This window comes from Homo sapiens, chromosome 19, assembly GCF_000001405.40.
Source record: "Homo sapiens chromosome 19, GRCh38.p14 Primary Assembly".
Classification (NCBI taxonomy): Eukaryota; Metazoa; Chordata; class Mammalia; order Primates; family Hominidae; genus Homo; species Homo sapiens.
The window spans coordinates 17378230-17395802 of NC_000019.10; the positions used below are offsets into that span (position 1 = coordinate 17378230).

At 51.8% G+C, this 17573-nt stretch overlaps 1 protein-coding gene and 1 long non-coding RNA gene across 3 annotated transcripts, besides 3 other annotated features; both read right to left on the reverse strand.

The window, feature by feature from the left end:
• Positions 1-560: 560 nt before the first annotated feature.
• LOC105372298 (uncharacterized) lies at positions 561-1543 on the reverse strand. The gene is made up of 3 exons (XR_936362.3): positions 1451-1543; positions 1184-1257; positions 561-601 (listed from the first exon to the last, which is right to left on the reverse strand). It is a non-coding gene; the product is annotated as an uncharacterized LOC105372298 (long non-coding RNA).
• Positions 931-1819: an enhancer, noted in NCBI's record as "H3K4me1 hESC enhancer chr19:17489969-17490857 (GRCh37/hg19 assembly coordinates)". NCBI's record gives its function as "activates a minimal SCP1, AML or CMV promoter by ChIP-STARR-seq in naive H9 embryonic stem cells {active_cell/tissue: H9 hESC(naive)}" and the evidence as "EXISTENCE:reporter gene assay evidence [ECO:0000049][PMID:30033119]".
• CCDC194 (coiled-coil domain containing 194) lies at positions 8967-15967 on the reverse strand. Of its 2 annotated transcripts, NM_001395221.1 has the most exons (5): positions 15606-15967; positions 13521-13617; positions 12982-13114; positions 12284-12430; positions 8967-11029 (listed from the first exon to the last, which is right to left on the reverse strand). In NM_001395221.1, the coding sequence occupies exons 1-5, from the start codon at positions 15927-15929 to the stop codon at positions 11005-11007; spliced, it is 726 nt and encodes a 241-aa protein (NP_001382150.1). In that variant the 5' UTR covers positions 15930-15967; the 3' UTR covers positions 8967-11004. The 2 variants fall into 2 exon arrangements, with proteins under 2 accessions (NP_001382150.1, NP_001382151.1); NM_001395222.1 differs by having other exon boundaries at positions 8967-12430.
• Positions 12851-13090: a silencer, noted in NCBI's record as "silent region_10341". NCBI's record gives its function as "represses an Ori minimal core promoter by ATAC-STARR-seq in GM12878 lymphoblastoid cells {active_cell/tissue: GM12878}" and the evidence as "EXISTENCE:reporter gene assay evidence [ECO:0000049][PMID:35858748]".
• Positions 13101-13290: a silencer, noted in NCBI's record as "silent region_10342". NCBI's record gives its function as "represses an Ori minimal core promoter by ATAC-STARR-seq in GM12878 lymphoblastoid cells {active_cell/tissue: GM12878}" and the evidence as "EXISTENCE:reporter gene assay evidence [ECO:0000049][PMID:35858748]".
• Positions 15968-17573: the final 1606 nt, after the last annotated feature.

Genomic DNA, 17573 nt, shown 5'->3' on the forward strand with positions numbered 1-17573 from the left:
GCGGTGGCGCTGGCTCCCCAAGCTCTGTCATTGCCCCCAGTGCCCTGTTCACTTAGATGCTCAGTAAATGCTCCAGGAAACTGCAGCACAAGGAATAATGAACTTGGAGCGGGGAAGAGCTGGCTTTGTCCCGGGAGAGCTCGGGCAAGAGGCCTCGCATGTCTGTGCCTCCCTTTTCCCCTTTGTGAGACGGGGTATACCCAGTGCCTCGTCACTCTGTGGCTGTTGTTATGATTAGGATCATTTCCTGCTGGAGGCACTGCTGGGGGCTCCGTGAGATGGTGAATGACAAGTGGTGGATACGTGGGACTGAGATTCCTCCCCCGACACTCAAAACCCCATGGGCGGCCGGGCATAGTGGCTCACACCTGTAATCTCAGCACTTTGTGAGGCTGAGGCAGGCGGATCACCTGAGGTCAGGAGTGCGAGACCAGCCTGGCCAATATGGTGAAACCCCATCTCCACTAAAAATACAAAAATTAGCCGTGTGTGGTGGCGAGCACCTGTAATCCCAGCTGCTTGGGAAGCTGAGGCAGGAGAACCACTTGAACCCGGGAGGCGGAGGTTGCAGTGAAGCGAGATCGGGCCACTGCACTCCATCCTGGGAGATAAGAGAGAAACTCTGTCTCAAAAACAAAAACAAACAAACCAAAAAAACCACGGGAGTTTTCTGGGGTCGCTGTGGGTCACCCCCCAGTTGGGCCTGGAGGGGATTTGGGGACCCGGAAGCAAAGGATTCTGTGTGTCCTGCCTATCTCCCAGGATCAGGAGCTCCAGGGAAACCCTCCCTGGAGTCCCTTCTTTGTTTGCTCCATGCTGGGTGATGCCAGGGCCCCCCAAGAGGTGTCAGTCCCAACCTCAGCCACAAGCAACTCCCAGTCTTGGGAGACAGACTGGGACAGGTACCCCCCACCCTGTGGAGTCAGGGTGGGCTGGAGGAACAGGAGCAGGGAGCCGGAAAGGAGGCTGGACTCCGGACAGGTGACAATCATGCAATTGCTGTCCTCTGTAGGGCAATGTGAAGGCTGGGGCGTGGGGACCCGTCCCCCCATTAGCCAGGGTAACAGAGTGGGGAGGGGTCGTTGACAGAGCGGAGGGGTACTCCAGGGTGGTGCTCAGTGAGGCGAGTGTAGAGTTGAGAAGAAGGAAGTTCCCAGGGGTGGGCAGGAAACCCATGTCTGACCTTTGACCTTTGCAGCTACCCGGTGGTTCCTGATCCTGATTCCGGACCCTTCCCAGCGGCGTCGTCGGCGGCTGCTAGTGGGGGAAGGAGGGCTGGGGGCTGCCACGGGTGCCCAACCAGCCATTTCTCTGGGTTGGCCAGACCCACCCAGAGCCCCCCAGAGCTGGGCAGGAGGAGAACATCCTCCGTAATGGGGGCAATGTAGTCTGAGTGAACCCAGCATTACAGTTTAGAGTTCTGGAGTTGAGTTCTGACTGTGCCACCTACCAGCTTTGTGGCCTTGGAGAAGTGACTTTCCCTCCCTGGGCCTCAGTTTTCTCCTGTCCGAAGTGGAGATAGCCAGGTGCAGTGGCTCACACCTGTAATCCCAGCAGTTAGGGAGGCAGAGGTGGGAGAATCGTTGGAGCCCACAAGTTCAAGACCCTGTTCTAAAAAAAAAAAAACCCAAAAAACAAAAACAAAACAAAAATCAAGTGAAGACAACATAGCCAGTTTTTTTTGTTTTTTTTTTTTGTTTTTTTTTTTTTTTTTTGAGATGGAGTCTGGCACTGTTCCCCAGGCTGGAGTGCAGTGGCACTATCTTGGCTCACCACAGCCTCTGCCTCCTGGGTTCAAGGGATTCTCCTGCCTCAGCCTCCTGAGTAGCTGGGACTACAGGCACGCGCCAGCATGCCTGGCTAATTTTTTGTATTTTTAGTAGAGACAGGGTTTCACCAGGCTGGTCTCAAACTCCTGACCTCGTGATCCGCCTGCGTCGGCCTCCCAAAGTGCTCGGATTACAGGCGTGAGCTACCTCACCTGGCCAACAACATAGCCAGTTTTGAAGTACTTGACGTCATGCCTGGAACATACTCAGTCTTAATAAATGATGGCCTTTTTTTTTTGAGACAGAGTCTTGCTCTATTGCTCAGGATGGAGTGCAGTGGTGCGATCTCGGCTCACTGCAACCTCTGCCTCCAGAGTTCAAGCAATTCTCCTGCCTCAGCCTCCCAAGTAGCTGGGATTACAGATGTGCAGCACTACTGCTCAGCTAATTTTTGTATTTTTAGTAGAGACGGGGTTCCACCATGTTGACCAGGCTGGTCACAAACTCCTGACCTCAGGTGATCCACCTGCCTTGGACTCCCAAAGTGCTGAGATTACAGAATGAACCACCGCACCGGGCAATGATGGCATTTTTTAAGATGTGAGGGCTGGATCATGCCTGGCCTCTGATGTCAGGCTGAGGAACTCAGACATAGGGGAGGGGCAGTATTCCCAGCTGCCGGTGCCCCAGGCCTGTGAGAGCACTGGGGAAAGGAGAGCATGATGGGGATGAAGTGTGGGTGACCAGGGTCCAGCAGAGGAGCTGAGGCTGGGTGCAGTGTCTGGGCCAATGCCAGTAGATGTGGGTCTTGGTGTACACTTAAGATCTTGGCTGTTCTTCATTGTATATAGAAGATGTTGCATCTATGTATGTATGAATGTGATACCAGTTGACAAGGAAAAATAAAGGCAACCTCAAACTCCCAGAAAACAAAAAGCCCCCCGGACCTGATGGTACTGATGTGCCACAATTTTGAACAGTTGTCACCATGTGAGAAGCAGAGTTTTAAATATACATACCAATGTTATTTGTATCAAGCCCAAAAACAATATTTGGTGTCCTTTTCTAATTTGATCTCACACCTTTAATTTGTAATGTTTCTGTTTTGGATCATTTGTTATATTAGCTGATTTAACTTTGTAACTTTTTGTTTGTTTGTTTTGAGGCAGAGTTTTCTCTTGTCGTCCAGGCTGGCATGCAATGGCATGATCTTGGCTCACTGCAACCTCCACCTCTGGGTTCAAGTGATTCTCCTGCCTCAGCCTCCTGAGTAGCTGGGATTACAGGTGCACACCACCATGCCTAGCTAATTTTTTTTTTTTTTTTGGTATTTTTTAGTACAGATGGGCTTTCGCCATGTTGGCCAGGCTGGTGTCGAACTCCTGACCACAGGTGATCCACCCACCTCATCCTCCCAAATTGCTGGGATTACAGGCGTGAGCCACCACGCCAGGCCTGATTTTTTTTTTTTTTTTTTTTTTTTTTTTTTTTTTTTTTTTTTTAGCAAAAAGGGTAGGCTGGGGGTCGTGGCTCACACCTGTAATCCCAGCACTTTGGGAGGTCGAGGCGGGTAGATCACGAGGTCAGGAGTTCGAGACCAGCCTGGCCAATATGGTGAAACCCCATCTCTACTAAAAATACAAAAATTAGCTAGATATGGTGGCGGATGCCAGTACTCCCAGCTACACGGGAGGCTGAGGCAGAAGAATTGCTTGAACCTGGGAGGTGGAGGTTGCAGTGAGCCCAGATCGTGCCACTGCACTCTAGCCTGGGCTACAGAGTGAGACTCCATCTCAAAAAAAAAAAAAAAAAAAAAGGTAAAGATAGACCTTCCTCTTTTTGCACAGTATTATGTCTTTGAGATTCATTGACTCCTATGGCTGGCTGTTTAGGTTTTCACCAGATACAGTACCATAAAATTATGAATGGACACTTAGATTTTTTCTGAGTTAGTTTTTCAATAAATAAAAGAAGATTTAAAATCAAATTTCCTGGCTGGGTGCGGTGGCTCACATCTGTAATCCAAAGCACTTTGGAAAGCCAAGGCAGGCGGATCACTTGAGTCCAGGAGTTTGAGACCAGCCTGGGCAACATGTTGAAATCCCATCTCTTCAAAAAATACAAAAATTAGCCGGGTGTGGTAGTCCCAGCTACTTGGGAGGCTGAGGCAGAGAATTGCTTGAATCCAGGAGGCACAGGTTGCAGTGAGCCGAGATCACACCACTGCACTCCAGCCTGGGTGACAGAGTGAGACCCGGTCTCAAAAAAAAAAAAAAAAAAAAAAAGAAAGAAAGAAAGAAAGAAAGAAAGAAAGAAAATCAAATTTCCAGAAATGAATGAAATTACTGGGTCTCAAAGTGGGCACATTTTTACATTTTGATAGTTGTCACCAATTTGTCCTTCAAAGAGGTTGTTTTCATTGACATCTTTGCCTGCGATGTCTGAAATCTCCAAACATGGACTTTATGAAAATGTTCTGTTTGTGTCCTTGGCCAGAAAAATCTGGAGGGAGAATGTGAGTGCCTGATCAAGAATCTACATGAAGTCAAATGCATCAGCCCTGATGTGAGTGTTGGGTTTTTTCCTGAAAACAATTTGTCATGTTCACAGGAAATTTTGCACATGAATCCCTTCAAATTCCCTTGGAGGGGCATCAGAAAATCAGGCTTGCTTTTTAAACCCTTTTGTTTTTCTAAACAGAAAACAATTGATTTGGTTTCATTTGTTTGTTTGAGTGGAGAAGGAAAAACTGTCATGAGGAAGTCAACTCTGTGTCACTCCCTGAAAACTGACACTGAAGTCCTCATGGAGACACGAGTTAAAAAAAAACAAAATCACTCAGAACTTCAGGAAGGTCCTTGAGGAAGTGATATTTCTGGTGAAGAAGGATTTCAGTGAAGTTCAGAAAACCTTCCACTATTTTGTTTTTTTTTTTTTGAGACGGAGTGTTGCGCTGTTGCCCAGGCTGGAGTGCAGTGGCACGATCTTGGCTCACTGCAAGCTCCGCCTCCTTCCGGGTTCATGCCATTCTCCTGCTTCAGCCTCTAGAGTAGCTGGGGACTACAGGCTAATTTTTTGTGCCTTTAGTAGAGATGGGGTTTCACCGTGTTAGCCAGGATGGTCTCGATCTCCTGACCTCGTGATCCACCCACCTCGGCCTCCCAAAGTGCTAGGATTACAGGCGTGAGCCCCTGCGCCTGGCTTTTTTTTTTCTTTTTCTTTTTTTGTTTTTTTTGAGACGGAGTCTCGCTCTGTCGCCCAGGCTGGAGTGCAGTGGCGCCATTTCGGCTCACTGCAACCTCTGTCTCCCAGGTTAGAGCAATTCTGGCTCAGCCTCCTAAGTAGATGGGACTACAGGTACACACTACCACCCCCGGCTAATTGTTATATTTTTAATAGAGACTGGGTTTCACCATATTGGACAGACTGGTCTTGAACTCCTGACCTCAAGTGATCCTCCTAACTCAGCCTCCCAAAATGCTGGGATTACAGGCATTAGCCACTGCACCGGGCCAACCCTCCACTTTTATGTCTGTGAGTTTGGTTTTTGGTTAATCGAAGTGAAGTTAAGTTTTGTGCTTTTGGAGGTGACGGAGGCAGCGAAGAGAGTCCCTCTGTGGGGTGGGGGAAACCTGTGCTCTCTGGGACTCTGTGTTCCCTGCTGAAAAACAGGGACCTAGGCTGGGCGTGGTGGCTCACGCCTGTAATCCCAGCACTTTGGGAGGCTGAGGCAGGCAGATCACCTGAGGCCAGGAGTTTGAGACCACCCTGACCAACATGGAGAAACCCCGTCTCTACTAAAAATACAAAACTAGCCAAGTGTCCTGGCGCATGCCTGTAATCCCAGCACTGGGGAGGCTGAGGCAGAAGAATCGCTTAAACCCGGGAGGTGGAGGTTGCAGTGAGCTGAGACTGCGCCATTGCACTCCAGCCTGGGCAACAACAGTGAAACTCGGTGTCATAAATAAATAAATAAATAAAAAGAAAAACAGGGACCTACTTCCTTGCCTGTGACTGGAGGGCTGGAAAGGTCAGGTTGCAACTAGCCCATGTCCCCTCCTGCCAAGGCCACTGTGGGCTTTCCATTTTTGTCCCCTACCCCTGTCCCTCCAGCTATGGGAGGGGAGGTCCAGTGTGGCCACGGATAGGGATTACCCAGGATGGTGCCCTGGAGACAGGGGTAGACAGACAGAGATAACCAGAGACAGAAAGACACTTAAAGAGATGACCAGCAGAGGGCGGGTGCTGTTGCTCACGCCTGTAATCCCAGCACTTTGGGAGGCCGATGCAGGTGAATCACCTGAGGTCAGGAGTTCGAAACCAGCCTGGCCCAACATGGTGAAACCCTGTCTCCACTAAAAATAAAAATATTGGCCAGGCGCAGTGGCTCACACCTGTAATCCCAGCACTTGGAGGCCGAGGCGGGCGGATCATGAGGTCAGGAGTTCAAGACCAGCCTGGCCAACATGGCGAAACCCCATCTCTACTAAAAAAAATACAAAAATTAGCTAGGTGTGGTGGCACGTGCCTGTAATCCCTTGGGAGTCTACTTGGGAGGCTGAGGCAGGAGAATCACTTGAACCCAGGAGGCGGAGGTTGCAGTGAGCCGAGACCACGCCACTGCACTCCAGCCTGGCGACAGAGCGAGACTCCGTCTCAAAAAAAAAAAAAAAAAAAATTAGCCCAGTGTAGTGGCACGTGCCTGTAATTCCAGCTACTTGGGAAGGTGAGGCAGGAGAATCATTTGAACCAGGGAGGTGGAGGTTGCCGTGAGCCGAGATCACGCCACTGCACTCCAGCCTGGGGAACAGAGCAAGATTCCGTCTCAAAAAAAAAAAAAAAAAAAAAAAAGGCTGGGTGCGGTGGCTCAGGCCCATAATCCCAACACTTTGGGAGGCCAAGGCAGGTGGATCACCTGAGGTCAGGGGTTCAAGACCAGCCTGGCCAACATGGTGAAATCCTGTCTCTACTAAAAAAAAAAAAAAAAAAAAAAAAATTTGCTGGCTGTGGTTATGCGCACCTGTAATCCCAGCTACTCAGGAGGCTGAGGCAGGAGAATCACTTAAACTGAGGGGGCGGAGGTTGCAGTGAGCCAAAATCGCACCATTGCACTCTAGCCTAGGCAAAAAGAGCGAAACTCCATCTCAAAAAAAAAAGAAAGAAAGAGAGAGATGATCAACAGAGACCAAGAGGGATCATTAGACAGGTGGAGGCAGGGAGACAGAACAAGGACAGCTCAGTGGCTGGCTCTGTAGGGTGGGAGGCAGGTCTCACTGAGAAGTGCTGTTTGCCTCTCTGGGCATCCAGGGAGCCTCAGTGCAGACCAAGTTCTCAGCCTACCCTCCTCAAGTCACCTCGAATACTCACCGACTCTTGTCTTATGACTTCCCTGGGGTTCAAAGCCTCCAGCCTCAAATTCCCCGCTTCCCAAAATTCTTTGACACTAGTTCTGCCTGTGCCCCTCCTACTTACACATCTGCCATGGCTCCCTATCACCCTCCATCCCCAGAACTGATTTTTTTTTTTTTTGGAGACGGAGTCTCGCTCTGTCGCTCAGGCTGGAGTGCAGTGGCGCGATCTCGGCTCACTGCAACCTCTGCTTCCCGGGTTCAAGCAATTCTCCTGCCTCAGCCTCCGGAATAGCTGGGTTTACAGATGCCCATGACCACACCCAGCTATTTTTTTGTATTTTTAGTAGAGATGGGGTTTCACCATGTTGGCCGGGCTGGTCTCGAACTCCTGATCCCAAGTGATCAGTGCGCCTTGGCCTCCCAAAGTGTTGGGATTACAGGAGTGAGCCACCACGGCTGGCTCAGAACTGATGTTCAGTGGTCCCTCGGGTATGGTCAAGATGGAGCCAGCAGTGGAAATAAATGCATAATGGTGACAATGACTTAGTTCCCATGGACAGCCCTGTGCCCTGCCCTTTACACGGGCCAGTTCTTGGACCACACAGCGCCGTGGTGAGGGGGTCTTGCGTCCCTGGGGTCCTGGCTGGGGCGAGGCCAGTCTCCAGGCTTCCAGCTCTGGCTGACTCCAGAAGGAGGAACCGTTTCCTGCTGGCTTCTGGATTGACGCCAGGGCCGGGGGAGGTGGTCTCAGACCCACCCTGTCCGACTCTCAAACTCTGGGCCCTCAGGAGGCTGCAACTGGATCTGCTGGCTGGGGCGGCCCCTGGTGGCCGTTGGCGGAACACAACAGCTAGATCTCCCCTTCCCGCAGCCTCATTTTCCCCATAGGCAGAGCCTCCAGATGAGCCCCCTCTCAGGTGAAGGTCCTGATCAGGCACCTACAAACCCCAGGTGGATGGGAGGATCGTGAGCAGGACTGGCTAAAGGGGGTGGTGTCAGAGTTCCAAGAGCTTCCAATCCCCTCTCTACACCGGCCTCTTAGGAATTTTTTAAATTTATTTTTATGTACTTAGTTTTTGAGTAACAGGTCTCACTCTGTCACCCAGACTGGAGTGCAGTGGCTACGATCTCAGCTCACTGCAACCTCCACCTCCAGGGTTCAAGCGATTCTCCTGGCACAGCCTCCCGTGTAGCTGGGACTACAGGTGTGCACCACCACGCCCGGCTAATTGTTATTTGTATTTACTTATTTATTTTTTTGAAATGGAGTCTCGCTCTGTTGCCCAGGCTGGAGTGCAGTGGTGCAATCTGGGCTCACTACAACCTCTGCCTCCCAGATTCAAGCGATTCTCCTGCCTCAGCCTCCCAAGTAGCTGGGATTACAGACGCCCACCACCTCGCCCTGCTAATTTTTGTATTTTTAGTAGAGATGGGGTTTCACCATGTTGGCCAGGCTGGTCTTGAACTCTTGACCTCAGATGATCCACCTGCCTCGGACTCCCAAAGTGCTGGGATTACAGGTGTGAGCCACCGTGCCCAGCCTATTCATTTAGTTTTTGAGACAGGGTCTCACTCTGTCGCCCAGGCTGGAGTGCAATGGAGTGATCTTGGCTTACTGCAACCTCTACCCCCAGGGTTCAAGCGATTCTCCTGCCTCAGCCTCCCAAGTAGCTGGGACTACAGGTGCGCACCACCACGCCTGGCTAATTTTTAAACTTTTTGTAAAGATGGTGGTCTCCTTACATTGCTCAGGCTGTTCTCCAACTCCTGGGCTCAAGTGATCCTCCTGCTTCAGCCTCCCAATGTGCTGGGATTATAGACACGAGCCACCACCACACTCAGCCCAGACATTTTTAAAAACAATTTTTAATTTTTAATTTGTAATAAGTGACACATGTGCATGGTTTTTAAAAATGCAATTTTTACAAAAGGTACATAGAGAAATGTGCAAGTATGTCCCCCACCGATTCCCAGACCCCTGGTTCGCTCCCCAGAGGTGGAGGCTGTGACCAGCATCTCCTTCAGAGATATTTGGATAAAAGTCCCCTCCCCAAGCCCTACACACACACACACACACAAAAACGGGGGCCGGGCACAGCGGCTCAGGCCTGTAATCCCAGCACTTTGGGAGGCCAAGGAGGGTGGATCACCCGAGGTTAGCAATTCGAGACCAGCCTGGCCAACATGGTGAAACCCCGTCTTTACTAAAAAACACAAAAAACTAGCTGAGTCTGGTGATGGGCGCCTGTAATTCCAGTTACTCGAGGCTGAGGCAAGAGAATCGTTTGAACCCGAGAGGCGGAGGTTGCAGTGAGCTGAGACTGCGCCATTGCACTCCAGCCTGGGCAACAAAAGCAAGACTCTATCTCAAAAAGAAAAAAAAAGAAAGAAAGAAAGAAAGTACACAACTTATCAATCTCCTGCTTTTCACATTAACATATCTTAGAGAAGATCTGCTTTGGCTGTTTAAATGGTGGTTGCATAGCGTTCCACTGTGGATGGACAGACACTTTTTCTTTTTCTGTCTTTCTTTTCTATTTATTTTTATTTTTTTTGAGACAGAGTCTCACTCTGTCACCCAGGCTGGAGTGCAGTGGTGCGATCTCAGATCACTGCAAGCTCCGCCTCCCAGGTTCATGCCATTCTCCCGCCTCAGCCTCCCAAGTAGCTGGGACTACAGATGCCCACCACCATGCCCGGCTAATTTTTTGTATTTTTAATAGAGAAAGGGTTTCACCGTGTTAGCCAGGATGGTCTCGATCTCCTGACCTCGTGATCCGCCCGCCTCGGCCTCCCAAAGTGCTGGGATTACAGGCGTGAGCCACCCCCGGGCTCTTTTTTTCCTTTTTTTTTTTTTTTTTTTTTTTTGAGACAGGATCTCACTCAGTCACCTAGGCTGGAGTGCAGTGGCATGATCATGGCTCACTGCAGCTTCCACCTCCTGGGCTTAAGTGATCTTCCTGCTTCAGCCTCCCAAGTAGCTGGGACCACAGGTGCATGCCACCAAGCCTGGCTACTTTCTTCTCTTTCTTTCTTTTCTTTTTTGTCTTTCTTTTTTCTTTCTTTCTCTTCTTTCTTTTCTTGAAGGGGTTTTGCTCCAGTCACCCTAGCACGATCTTGGCTCACTGCAGCCTCTGCCTCCCAGGCTCAAGTGATCCTCCCACCTCAGTCTCCGAAGTAGATGGGACCACAGGTGCATGCCACCATGCCCAGCTAATATTTTGTATTTTTGGTAGAGAATGGGTTTCACCATGTTGCCCAGGCTGGTCTCAAACACCTGAGCTCAAGTGATCCACCCGCCTCAGCCTCCCAAAGAATTTTGAAACAATTATTTGTAGAGACAGGGTCTCCCTATGTTGCCCAGACTGGTCTTGAACTTCAGGGCTCAAGAGATCCTCCCGCCTTAGCCTCCCAAAGTATTGGGCTTACAGGCATGAACCACTGTGCCCAGCATGATTTTCTTAATAATTTTTTTATAGCTTTAATTTTTCATGTTTAATTTTTGAGACCGGGTCTTGCTCTGTCACTCAGAGGACTGAAGTGCAGTGGTGTGATCATGGCTCACTGCAAACTTGACGTCCTGGGCTCAAGTGATCCTCCCGCCTCAGCCTCCCAAGTAGCTGGGGCTACAGATGCATGTCACCATGCTCAGCTAATTATTGATATTATTTGTAGAGACAGGTTCTTGCTATGGTGCCCAGGCTGGTCTTGAACTCCTGGGCTCAAGTGATCTTCTTGCTGTGGCCTCCCAAAATGTTGGGATTACAGGCGTGAGCCACCACACCTGGCCAGCTTTGAGTTTGGAGGAGTCAAAGTTATGTGTGAATTTTCAACTGCATGGAGAACTGGTGCCCATAACCTTTGTGTTGTTAAGGAGTTGGAGATTAATCCACCAAATTTTCTGTAAGTCTGAAGTTATGCCAAATATAAAGGTTAAATTTAGATAACAAGCTAAAAATGTTTAAAGGTTAGAAAAACAAGAAAACCCACTAATACATTCATGTGAAATTGAGCAATATAAAATTGTCCATATTTCAATGATTTTTGACCCATATAAACAGCTCTTTCTTGTGATTCAACCTACAGATTCTCTTCCTTTTAGTTGTAGCTTTTATTTTTCTTGTGTAATTGCATTGGCTTGTACTCCCAGAAAAAAAACTACTTGACAGTGGACGTCCTCACCTTGGCACTGATTTTGATGTGTTTTTTCCCCCACAATTTATACATTTCCTCATTTGATCTATTAGTATAGCAATTAACAGACTTGGCAATATTGAACCATTGCTCTGTCTCAGGCATAAGTCACCTTTGTTGCAGTGTAGGTTAAAAACATGGGCTGGGAGCGGTGGCTCACACCTGTAATCCCAGCACTTTGGGAGGCCGGGTGGGCGGATCACCTAAGCTCAGGAGTTCGAGACCAGCCTGGCCAACATGGTGTAACCCCGTCTCTACTAAAAATACAAAAATCAGCTGGGCGTAGTGGTGGGGGCCTGTAATCCCAGCTACCTGGGAGGCTGAGGCAGGAGAATTGCTTGAACCTGGGAGGTGAAGGTTGCAGTGAGCCCAAATTGTGCCACTGCACTCCAGCCTGGGCGACAACAGCAAAACTCCATCTCAAAACCAAACCAAAACAAACATGTTACTTGGTTCTTTTTGTTTAAATTCCATCTGGGAGTTTTGTACCCTTCTCACAGGGTTAGGGATTTGCGGTTTTCCTATTGTGCCACCTTTGTCAGCTTTTGTTGTCAAATCAGCTCCCTATCATGAGTCCAATCACCCATTTTACAGATAGGGTAAACTGAAACCCAAAGAGGGAAAGTGACCCTTTCCGGTTTTTCCTGAGCCAGGGCTAGACCTCCAGTCCTCATATCTGTGGGATGACGGCAACATTGTTGTTAGAGGGGACTTCAAATCCCAGCTAAGCACTAGCTCACTGCATGATCACTTGGGCCTCAGTTTCCCTGTCTGTAGAATAAGCACTTTACATGGTGGGGGAGAGAGGGCTGAGGCACCTTTCTGTGCAGTTTCCGTTCAGGACGTCTCCAGGGTCTAAAGCTGAGTGTCGCATCCAGCGTGGGGGTGCCTCTATACACGTCCCCGCAGACCCCCCCCCCATATGTGTCCTCCAGGCCGACGCCCCCTTCCGGCAGGGGGCCGACTCACCCTCGTGCGCGCCGCGCCGGCCGCCGGCAGCCCCCGGAGGGTCCGGAGCGAGAGCGCGAGCGAGGGCTGGGCCGGGGTCGGGACCCCGAGCGGGGACGCGGCCGGGGCACTCTGCGCTGTGGGCTCATCTCGGCTTCCAGGACGTTACTGCCGGGAAGGGGGAAGGGGGCTGTCAGCCTCTGGACCCCTGTCCCCAGACATCGCCAGCCCTCATCCGCCAGAGCGTCCCTTTGCTGGGAACTCCATCCCCAGAGATCCCCATCTCCCAGGGTTTCCCGCTCCCCAGGATCCGGCATCCGTTCTCGACCCCCAGCCATTCCCGGGACGCCTCCCTAGAGACTCCCAGCTACATCCCCAGAAGCTCTGTCCCCCTACCACCAGCCTCTCCCTCGATACTCCCTTTTCCTTGCTCCCTTCTCTTCCGTTCCCCGTCCCTCTCGGGGCTCCCACCGACGCTGGATCCTGGGGACCTAAGTTTCTAGAATGCCCGCCCCAGCCTGGAATCCCAAGAGAGTCCACTCCCTTCTCCATCCTTAGGTTCCAATTCCAGGATCCCCCTATTAAATCAACAATGCCCCCCCCCCACCACAATTCCACGCCCAAAGTAATGATTGGCCGAAAGAATGCAGCCCTGCGCAAGCATTGGTCGCGCCCTCCCCGTCCATCCGACCCCGCCCTCGGGCCAGCCCCTCACTCACAGGCGTTCGCGCAGCGCCGCCTCCCGGGCCGCACAGGCTTCGCCCTCGGCCTCCGCCACGCCTGCGCGCCGCAGAGCCTCGTCCAGCCGCCGCGTAGACTCCGTGGCCGCCGCCTCCCAGCGCGCCAGGGCCTCTGGGGGCGCAGGGAGCCGGGTCAGGCTGGAGACTCCCGCGCCCACCCGCCCCACGCACGCCGGAATCCAAGTTGATAGTCTGCATGCCGTTTGCACGCTTTCCTTTATTTGAATTAAATTAGTGTGTACCATTGCATGGCTTCCACGTGCCATTTGCATAGCTTTTCATAGGTTTGCATTGCTTTCGTGAGTCGTTTACAAGGAGTTTGCATGTTTTGTGGCATTTGCCTTGTTTTTGTGACATTTGCATGGCCTCTGCATGTTGTTTGCATTCTTTTCATAAGTTTTTGCGTTTATATCCGTGTTATTTGCATTACGTTTGCAACTGTGCTTGTTTGGATAACTAGGATTCACCTAGGCTCCTCCCACTTCTATCCCTGCCCACTCCCTTACACCCCAACGCACCTGTCAGCGCCCCGTTCTCGGCCCCCATCTGGGTCCCCTGTGCCTTGGCTTCGTCCATCTCAATCTTCAGTGTCGTTAGTTGGGTCTGAAGCCGGCTCTGAGGAGTGGAGGGGAAGTGGGAGGGGGTGTAGGCAGAGGAGAGGAGGAGTGATTCGGCCTGGCCCTTTTGGGGACAGTGAGAAGCCACCTGCGACCCTGTGTCCTGAGCTTTGTGTGGAATGTCCTTTGGGGCCTTGTAGTTGTAAAATACAGAAGTGGCTTCTGAAGCCTGGGGCACCGAGTGGTGACAGCTGCCTGCCTGGAGGGAGATCTCTGCCCAGGTCCAACGCCACCAACCCTAAGCCACCAGAAAGTGGAGAGTGCTGAGCTCTGCGGTCAGATTCAAGTTCCACTTTCAGCTCCATCTGGGACTAGCTGATGGGATTTCAAACCAACAAAGTTAGCCGGGCGTCGTGGCTCACGCCTGTAATCTCAGCACTTTGGGAGACCGAGGCAGGCGGATCACTTGAGGCCAGGAGTTCGAGACTAGCCTGGCCAACATGGTGAAAACCCATCTCTACTTAAAAAAAAAAAAAAAATAGCAGTGTGTGGTGGTGGGCGCCTGTAATCCCAGCTCCTCAGGAGGCTGAGACAGGAGAATCGCTTGAACCTGGGAGGTGGAGGTTGCAGTGAGCTATTGTGCCACTGCACTCCAGCCTGGACAAAAGAGCATGACTCCGTCTCAGAACAAACAAACCCAGCAACAACAAAAACCAACACAGGGCAATTTGATGGTTGACAATGATTGAATTTTTGGGGTATGTGTCGGTTGCCTGTGTAGGACATTCTGCAAAACGACTGGTTCGGCTTCCTCAGTGCGTCTTACAGCAAGGGGGCAGAGCCAGAACCTGTACTTGGAGTAGGATCCTCTTAACCTCGACTGCCCCAGTCCCTTCTCTTGGTCCAGGGGGCAGAAAAGGGGTAGGGGTTTATTTGGATTTATTTATTTATTTTGAGATGGGGTCTTGCTCTGTCGCCCAGGCGGGAGTGCAGTGGTGGGATCTCAGCTCACTGCAACCTCCGCCTGGGATTACAAGCATGCGCCATCACACCTGGCTAATTTTTGTATTTTTAGTAGAGACGGGTTTTCACCACATTGGCCAGGCTGGTCTCGAACTCTTGACCTCAACTGATACACTCGCCCTGGCTTCCAAAAGTGCTAGGATTACAGGCGTGAGCCACTGCGCCCGGCCCCATTTTGATTTTTAATATTCAGATGCTGCACTACCTCGGCTGGGCTGGGAGGTTGGGGTGGAATGGGGGGTGTGCACAGAGGTATACAGTAGTCACTCCATAAATGGAAATGGCTGGGATTTTAAGGACAGTTCTTTTGGCAGGCTCAGGGCTGGAAAAGGTTAAGAAAAAGTCTGAAGGGTTAGTCAGAGGAAAAGGAGGACCCAGCAGGTACCTCCCCCAAGAGGCCAACTTTAGCCTCCTAATTACAGGTGACATGTATGTCCCTCTCTCAAAATAGGGCTGCTGGAAACTGGCTGGAGTGGGGCTGAGTTGGCACATGGAGGAGGGCCTCCAGTGGTCTGGCGTTTCTCCAGACACCATTTATCTGGCAAATAGCAAAGGACAGTGAGACTTTTTTTTTTTTTTTTTTTTTTTTTTTTTTCAGATGGAGTCTCGCTGTGTCACCCAGGCTGGAGTGCAGTGGCGCGGTCTCAGCTCACTGCAACCTCCACCTTCCGGGTTCAAGCGATTCTCCCGCGTTAGCCTCCTGAGGAGCTGGGATTACAGGCGTTCACCATCACGCCAGGCTAATTTTTGTATTTTTAGTAGAGACAGGGTTTCACCATATTGGCCAGGCTGGTCTCGAACTCCTGACCTCAGGTGATCCACCTTTCTGATCAGAAGGTAGACTCCATGGTGAGCTGACATCTAAGGGTTGGAAGGCATTAGGGCGCTATTCTCAATACCCTCTCAATTCGAGGAACTGGGGAAACCGAGGCACAGGGAGGGAACCCTGGAGTTGTGTGGGCAGGCCGTCTCTTATCTCAACATTCTGGATTCCCGAGCTCCCCCTCTACCCGGCCCACCTACCTGGCGGCCTTCACAGGCCTTTAATGCCTTCTCCAACTCGTGCCGGATACTTTCCGCCTGGTCCAGCTGCCTGGCTAGGGCCTCCTCCCGCTCGGCAGCCTCTGCCAGCCGGCGCCGCAGGTCGTCGACCCCAGGCGGCGGGTCCCCGGGCGGCGCCGTGGCATTGGCCCCTGGCTCCGGGCAGCGAGGTCCCCGAGCAGCCGAGGCGGCCAGATTCCAGGCTACCAGGGCCCCGCCGGCTGCTGCCGCAGCCAGGAACACGGCCACCCCGCACAGGGCGAGCACCCGCCAGGCACGCCCGGGCTCCGGCCCCGGCTCGGCCATGCCGCGGTCCACAGCTCTGGCCCCAGACGGCCACGAATATTTAATTGGCACCTTGGGGCGCCAGGGACACCCACGGTTCCGCCCAGCCTGGCCGTGGCTTCCCAGGCCGTTGGGAGGGGTTGGACCCCCTCCAGGGGCTGGTCCATCCCGTCGAGCCCAAGAAAGGACTAGGGGTTCTGGGTTCCTGCATCCCACGTGCTGCCCTCTGTGCCTCAATTTCCCCCTTTGTGAAATGGGGAGAGTATTAACTCCTGCTTGGTAGGGCTTGGTAGGAATCAAGCTGGCACATCTGTAGGAAGCGCCAAAGACCGCATCTGCAAACGAAGTGCTTGGCTATCATTTGGGGATATGTCGTTTCCAATATTTTTTAATCTTAATTTTGTGTGTTTGTGTCGCCCAAGCTGGAGTGCAATGGCACAATCTTGGCTCACTGAAACCTCCGTCTCTGGTTGAAGCGATTCTCCTGCCTCAGCCTCCTGAGTAGCTGGGATTACAGGCGACTGCCATCACGCCCAGCTAATTTTTATATTTTTAGTAGACACGGGGTTTCACCATGTTGGCCAGGCTGGTCTCGAACTCCTGACCTCAAATGATCTGCCCACCTCGGCTTCCCAAAGTGCTGAGATTACAGGCGTGAGCCCCCGCGCCCGGCTAATTTTAATTTTTTTTGTTTGATTGTTTTTTTGAGACAGGGTCTCGCTATGTTGCCCAGGCTGGTCTTGAACTCCTGGGCTCAAGCGATCCTCCCGCCTTGGTCTCCCAAAGTGCTGGGATTAAAGGCGTGAGCCACCGCATCCGGCCTGTGGTTCCCATTCTGTTGACGGGGTAACCGCATTGGGAGATGGGAGGATACTCCACTGACTTACGGTTGGCAGAGTTTAGGCTGCCACGCCGGCTGTGAAGAGGACCGGAGGGTAGACAACAGGGTGGACCGGCCCCGTCTTCCCGCCTGCTCGCCACTGGGCAGCCAGAGGGCGATCTTACAACGTGATTACAATTGGGCTCTGGCTCCCCTTCCCTCTTAGAATACAACCCGTTCTCCCCTCCCCTTCCTTCCTCCTACTCTCCCTCCTCCCCCTCCTCCCTCCTCTTCCTGTTTCTCCTTCTCTATCTCCCCCTGCCCCTTCTCTCCCTCCTTACACCTTCAAGGACCTGATCACACCTTTAAGGTCATTTTCTTTTCACTCCTTCCTGTAGCCTCCCCAAGGTTCTTCCACCAAGTGCATTCCCATCGCAGGGCCTTTACACCTTCTCCTCCTCTGCCTGGCTAATTGCTGCTCTGCTAACAGGTCCCCTCCTACAGAAAGTCCCCCTCTTCAACACTACCTCCTTTTGATCAGCTCCTAGGGCCCTAACATTAAAAAGGTAATGGCAGGCCGGGCGCAATGGGTCACGTCTGTAATCCCAGCACTTTGGGATGCCGAGGCGGGTGGATCACCTGAAGTCAGGAGTTCGAGACCAGCCTGGCCAACATGATGAAACCTCATCTCTTTTAAAAACACAAAAATTAGTCGGGTGTGGTGGCGGGCGCCTGTAATCCCAGCTACCTGGGAGGCTGAGGCAGGAGAATGGGTTCAACCCAGGAGGGGGAGGTTGCAGTGAGCTGAAATCATGCCATTGCACTCCAGCCTGGGCGACAAGAGC